Consider the following 7,844-nt stretch of genomic DNA (forward strand, 5'->3'; position numbering starts at 1 on the left):
ACAAGTAGCAATTGATGAGGTTACTAAACCCTGGTCTGTGGACTACCTGTATCAGAATCATTGGCGATCTTTCTATTTTAGTTTACTTGATTTTGTTTTGCCCTATATTATTTAAAAAATTTCTCAGTTATGAATAACCAAAACATGTGCAAGTTACTGAAGAATGATCAGAGATTCAAAGTTGCTGGCTTTAAGGATAGAGAAAGGGATCGTGAGCCAAAACTCAGTGAACTATATTGAGAGTAAAAATTGAAAAAGAGTTTGGGAAGAATATTGTATCTTTTTTATGCCAATAAATGCTCATAAAGTTTCAAGTAATATGAGGATGAAAAATTGAGATTATATTCTCTGTAACTTGACTTTTTTGTAGAAGTACTAGAAATACTGACATCTGTTGCACTAAAGAAAGTAATGTTTATCAACTATATTTAAATTTTAGTTATCTCTTTCTAATTAAACAATTAATCTTTCTTTCTCTTTTTTTTTTTGAGATGGAGTTTCACTCTTGTTGCCCAGGCAGGAGTGCAATGGTGCGATCTCAGCTCACTGCAAGCTCCGCCTCCTCCGCCTCCTAGGTTCAAGTGATTCTCATGCCTTAGCCTCCCAAGTAGCTGGGATTACAGGCATGCACCACCATACCTGCCTAATTTTTGTATTTTTATTGGGGATGGGGTTTCACAATGTTGGTCAGGCTGGTCTCAAACTCCTGACCTCAGGTGATCCACCCGCCTCAGCCTCTCAAAGTGCTGGGATTAAGGGCGTGAGCCACCGCGCCTGGCCAACAATTAGTCTTTCAAGAAAAAAATCATATTTGGGAATTATTTCTATTGTGTGATGATGTTAAAGGAGAGATGCCAATTCCACCATTTCTACATTTCTTGGGGGAAGAAATTGTTCAAAATCATTATAATAATATCCATGTGAAATTATCTTCATTAAGCCACAGTAAATAAATAAATAAATAATAGAAAATGAAAAAATAAGAAACGAGTGAGAAACACAATATTCTCTTTAATCAAACAACAAAAGACTTTAAAAGAATGCTCTGAGGAGACAATTCCATATATTTTTAAATCTATGGAGACATTGCCCTGGTCGATTTCCTTTGGAAAAGGAGGGAAGCTTAAAAACTTCAATATTACAGGAAAAGATCAATATTACATCAGCACCCTATCCTGACAAGGCCAGTCTAAAAAAGTATCTTGCTAATTCTCTAACTTCTGTCACCACGTGCATATATTTAGCATTGCAAAATATGCATAAAATGACCAAGAAGCAGGCAAGAGTGCTAAGAAATTATTTTTTTCTGCTCTACAATGTCAAACTTAAAAATTCAAATTCTAAAATTTTATTTTATTTTATTTATTTTTCTGAGAAGTGGTCACACTGTCACTCAGGCTGGACTACAATGGCGAGATCATGGCTCACTGCAGCCTCAACTTCCCAGGCTCAAGTGATCTTCCCATCTCAGCCTCTGGAGTAGCTAAGACTACAGGTACACACCACCATGCCCAGCTAATTTTCATACTTTTTGTAGGACAGGATCTTGCCATGTTGCCCAGGCTGATCTCAAACTCCTGGGCTCAAGCAATCCACCTGCCTTGGCCTCCCACAGTGCTGGAATTACAGGCATTAGCCACTGTGTCCAGTCCTAAAATTTTAAATAACTAAATTGAAACAATTTTTAATGAAAAATTCAGATTTATTCTTGTATGCCAGAATTTCAATCTATGACAATCCAGGTCTGACCATGAGTTCTGATGAATATTGGTTGTAATACTCTACCTGTTGGAATTTAGCCAAAATGTGTGTTTGATATGCTTTTAATGCTTAGCCAGGCTTGGGAACCACTCATTTACTGAATATTTACATGTGCCAAATCCTGGGTAATCTGGCAATAGAAAGACAAACATCTGCACAAAGTTACCCAAGATAATTTATTAACTCCATTACCTGGCCTAGAGCTTGTTTTTGATATTGACTCACCCTTTCTTGCAAGGGCAAGGCCTTTTTGTAATTGTAAACATTTAAACCAGTTTATTTTTCGAAGATGAGTAATAAGGATGAGGAGGATGTTTAGCACAATTGCATATTAAAATATTAGGAAACAGTGAAATACAAACACAGGAATAGATAGATCAGAGTCCAGAAATTGATCAATTATATGAATTAAATGTGTGATAAAGGCAGAATTTCAAATCCATAGGAGTAATATGGATTACTATTCTCAAACATTATGAATAGCTAGTCATTGAAGGGAAAACAAAAACAAACCTGAATTCCAATCTTACTCCATGCACACTCAAATAAAATCCATACATGTTACAACTGTAAATGTAAAAAATAAAATTACAATATGACTAGAAGTTTTACAGTTAGTGAAAATTCAGCAAGCTATACACTTAAGACTTATACTTGTGTGATTATACATTATCAGTAAAAAGTTTTAATTTTGATAAAATAATAGGTTATTTTTTAATTTTGGAGGAGAAAAGGCTTTTCAACTTTAATGAAAACTCAAAAAAAAAACCAGAAAAATTGGTAAGTTTAAATTACATGCACGTTTAAACTTTCTAAATGACATAAAAACACCATAAAACATTAAAAAAAACATCAAATTGGGAAAACATACTAGCAAAACTTTTGACAGACTATATCAGGCAGGGTGTAACCAGGAAATGAGAGATCACTCTAAACTCCTGAAACAAAGATAATCTAATAAAGGAATTGTTCTCAGAGGTGATGGAAGAGAAAAGAAGCAAAAAAGGGGTTGATAAGCCCTTTAGAAGTTATCAACAGCAGGTAGCCTCTTTGCCCCTAAACTGGAAGGAAAAAAGGAGGATGTAGTGTTCCCAGTGCCCAGAGCCCTGCTGGAGCCAAAACCAGACAGCCCTCTCTGATGGCAGCAGAAGCCATAGGGAATATGCAGTGGATGTTAGAGATGCTGCTTGAAGTAGAGGATGGGGTGGAGTGCAAACGTCCCAGCTCTTTCCTCCCTCTTGACTTCTGTATTAGTTTCCTAATTGCTGCTATAACAAATTACTACATACTAGCTGACTTGGAGCAACACAGATTTATTTTTTTACAGTTCTAGAGATCAGAAATCTGAAATGCCTCTCACTGGGATAAAAACAAGATGTCAGAACTGCATTTCTTTCCAAGGCTTTAGGGAAGAATCTATTTTCCTTGGCTTTTCCAGTTTCTTGAGGCTACCTTTCCTAGCTCCTCTTTCCTCTATTTTCAAAGGCAGCAATGGCCAGTCAAATCCTTCTCATGCTATCACCTTTTAAGTTCCCTTGTGATTACATCGGTACTACCTGGAAAACCTAGGGTAATCTCATTTTAAGGTCAGCTGATTTGCAAACATAATTCCATCTGTAACTCAATTCTCCTTTGCTATGTAATATGATGTGTTCACAGGTTTCAGGGACTGGGAAGTAGGCATCTTTGAGGGAGCTCTCCTTGTGCCTTCCATACCTTCCAGTCTCTCACCAGTGCCTCTCTTTGTCCAGATTCAACTGGAAGCCAACTGACTGGGAAAGGAGTCTGCAAGGGCCAGTGCTCCACACCCCAACTCTCGTCCCACACAAACCCAGGGGAAAGACAGGAATGGATCTAAGAGCAGATGGGTACCTGGAAAAATAACTAATATCCCTAGAATAAAGAGTTCTTAGAAATCACCGAGAAAATTATAACAAAAAAGACAAATGAGCCAAGGATATGTGCTGGCAGGCTGGCAATTTTTAGGCAAACATATGAAAATAGTATACATATGTAAAGATTCTCAACCTCCGTAATCTAAATTGAAACAACGAGCTATAATTTTTTTGTATCCTATGGGCTAAACTCAAAAGATTGTTAATATCCAGTTTTGATGACAGTATAGACTATTGAAAACAGTAACTGGTGAAACATTTTTGGAAGGCAATTTGGCAAAATATAATCAAAATGTAAATGTTTTTGGCTTTTGATTTAGTAATTCCACTTTTTTTTTTTTTTTTTAAAAGATATTGAGCAAGGCTCTGTCACCCAGGCTGGAGTGCTGTGGCACTATCCTAGTTCCTTGCAGCTTTGAATTCCTGGGCTCAAGCAATCCTCCCACCTCAGCCTCCCAAGTAGATGGAATTACAAGCCACAGGTCACTGATTCTGGCCTGACACAGACTAGACACTTGATGCTTAATTCACTTAACATATGACTTGATCCGTATACAAACCACTGAAGAAGGATTCCTTCAGCTCCTCCACTGACCTCTTTCTCTCTCTCCTCCTCCTCCTCCTTCCTTTTAAACAAAGGAAGAAATCACAGCTCAAGGAGTGAATTGACCTAAGATAGGCTGGAGCCTCAGCTATGGAATTAGCCCTGAATTCTCACAGGCTCTGCTTCTTAATGGTTATGTGACCTTAGGCAAGTTAATTAACTAGTCTCAGCTTCCTGCTCTTTAAATAGGGTGATAATACTACCACTCGTAGCATTGTAATGAAGGTCATGTCAGATGAGGTGTATGAAGTGTCTAGGTCCATGCTTGAGACTTAAAATGGTCAGATGGTGTTAGCTGTTATTGACATTGTTGTCATTGCTAACATTGTCAAACTAGAAATAGTATTACCTCCTTCACTAATTTGTCTTAAGGAGTACATTGAGATTTGTGTACTGTGAGAAAGCTTTGTCACCTTACCATGGTCTCAGTAAGGCCCAACATTATTCTGTGAAAATATATTTGGCAGTGAGGGAGGTAATCAAAGAGGTTACCTTTGTAGCGTTTACAAAACCAGTTAAACTGGATTGATAATCTAAGGATGGTGTTAAAGAGTAAGGAAAGACATAGTGTAAGATAGAGAAAAAGGATAAGAAAGGACAAAGTGAAAAAAGGATGAAGATTACAGCCTAGGAAATGGAAAGGGAAAAATGTAGCCCAAGTGTAACATTGTAAGTCCAAATCAGAGATATAACTATTGAGGGGCAAAAAGAGGGCATGGACCATTTCAAAGAAGCAATTCCACACAGAAGAAGGTTGGCAGAGTGTGCAGGGGACTATTTAGGATGCATCAGTTCCCTGGTTATGAAGTGGAAGTATTGGTATAGGCCTCGGGGGTAAGGAGGTTGAAGTGCACTCTAATTTACTTGATATTTAAATAAATGTGAGACAAGGCAGATGATGGCTGGGGAGGTATGGGGAGACAGGGAGGTTGAGACTTGCTTATGAACCGCATATAGAATGTGATGCAGGTGGCCGGGCGCGGTGGCTCACCCCTGTAATCCCAGCACTTTGGGAGGCCGAGGCGCACGGATCACGAGGTCAGGAGATCCAGACCATCTTGGCTAACACGGTGAAACCCCGTCTCTACTAAAAATACAAAAAATTAGCCGGGCGCGGTGGCGGGCGCCTGTAATCCCAGCTACTCGGGAGGCTGAGGCAGGAGAATGGCATGAACCCGGGAGGCGGAGCTTGCAGTGAGCCGAGATAGCGCCACTGCAGTCCGGCCTGGGAGAAGGAGCGAGACTCCGTCTCTCTAAAAAAAAAAAAAAAAAAAGAGAATGTGATGCAGTTATGGGAGTGTTGAGACCTGGCCTGGAAACCTAAGAACAAAATGTGAATAAGGAATAAGCAGAGAGAAACATCTCGGTGTATGAGACTCTTTTGCTTTGGCAGGCATTTAATTTTGGGCACCAAGATAATGTCAGAACACGTAGCATAAAAGCTCCAGTACCAGATGGGATATAGCCCTTATTGTAATCTGTGCAGTTTAGGAAGTTAGACTGGGATATGAAATAAAATTTCCATTTATTATTTTGGAAATAATGTATGGCTAGGGCCAGGAATAAGTCCTTACTTATCAATAATAACATTGAATGTAAATGTACTAAACTCTCTAATCAAAAGACATAGATAGTGGCTAAATGGATATAAAAAAACAAGACCCAGTGAACTATATCTACAAGAAACATAATTCATGTATAAAGACACACATAGACTGAAAATAAAGGGATGGAAAAAGATATTCCATCCCAAGGGAGCCAAAAAAGAGCAGGAAAAGCTATACTTATACTAGACAAAATAGATTTCAAGACAAAGTCCACAAAAAGAGAAAAAGATGGTCATGATATAATGATAAAAAAGGTGAATTCAGCAAGAGGATATAACAATTGTATATATATATGCACTCAACACTGCAGCATGCAGATATAGAAAGCAAATAATATTAGAGCTAAAGAGAGATAGACCCCAATACAATAATAGCTGGAGATTTCAACACCCAACTTTCAGCATTGGTGAGATCATCCAGACAGAAAATCAACAAAGAAACGTTGAACTTAATCTGGACTATAGGCCAAATGAATCTAATAGATAGTTACAGAATATTTTATCCAACAGCTGAAGAATACACATTCTTCTCTTTAGCACATGGCTTATTCTCAAAAACAGACCATATGTTAAGCCACAAAACAAGTCTTAAAAAATTCAAAAAATTGAAATCATATCAAGTATCTTTTCTGACCACAGTGGAGCAAAACTAGAAATCAATAACAAAAGGAACTTTGGAAACTATACAATCACGTGGAAATTAAACAATATGCTCCTAAATAACCAGTGGGTCAGTAAAAACTCTAAGAAGCAAATTAAAAACTGTCTTGAAACAAATGAAAATGGAAACAAGACATATCAAAATCTATGGGATACAGCAAAAGCAGTACTAAAAGGAACATTTTTACCAATAAGCGCCTACATCAAAAAAGTAGAAAAAATCAAATAAATGATCTAACAATGCATTTTTATAAACTAGAAAAGCAAGAGCAAACCAAACCCAAAATTAGTGAAGAAAAGAAACAATGAAGATCAGAGCGGAGATAAATGAAATTAAAATTTAAAAAAAATGAAAAAAGTTGTTTTCTAAAAAGATAAATTGAGAAACTCTTAGCCAGACTAAGAAAAAAGAGACAAGACCCTGATAAATAAATTCAGAGATGAAAAAGGATACATTACAACTGTTACTGCAGAAATTCAAAGGATCATTAGGGGCTACCATGGGCAACTATATGCCAATAAATTGGAAAACCTAGAAGACTTGGGCAAATTTCTAGACACCTACAACCTACTAAGATTGAAGCTTATGAAATTCAAAACCTGAATAGGGCAATAACAAGTAACAAGATTGAAGCCATAATAAAGAATCTCCCAGCCAAGAAAGTCCAAGATCCAATGTCCTCACTGGTGAATTTCACCAAATATTTAAAGAAGAACGAATACCAATGCTTCTCAAACTATTCCAAAAAATAGAGAAGGAGGGAATACTTCCAAACTTATTCTATAAAACCAATACTATCCTGATACCAAAACCAGACAAGGACACATCAAGAAAAGAAAACTACAGGTCAATATTTCTGATGAATATTCATGTGAAAATCCTCAATAAAATACTAGCAAACAGAATCCAACAGCACATTAAAAACAGCATTCATCATGACCATGTGGGATTTATCCCAGATATGCAAAGATGGTTCAACATAAGTAAATAAATCAATGTGATTCATCATATAAGCAGAATGAAGGACAAAAACTATATGATAATTTTAACTGATGCCTAAAAACCATTTGATAAAATTCAACATTATGATAAAAACCCCCCAAAAAACTGGGTATAGAAGGAACATACCTCAACACCATAAAAGCCATGTATGACAGACTCACAGCTAGTATCATACTGAATGGGGAAAAACTGATGAGAGGAAAAAATGGCCTTTCCTGTAAGATCTGGAACAAGAAAAAGATGTCCACATTCACAACTGTTGTTCAACATGGTGCTGGAAGTTCTATCTACAGCAATCAGGCAAGAGAAGGGAAT

Source organism: Homo sapiens, chromosome 6 (assembly GCF_000001405.40).
Source record: "Homo sapiens chromosome 6, GRCh38.p14 Primary Assembly".
Lineage (NCBI taxonomy): Eukaryota > Metazoa > Chordata > Mammalia > Primates > Hominidae > Homo > Homo sapiens.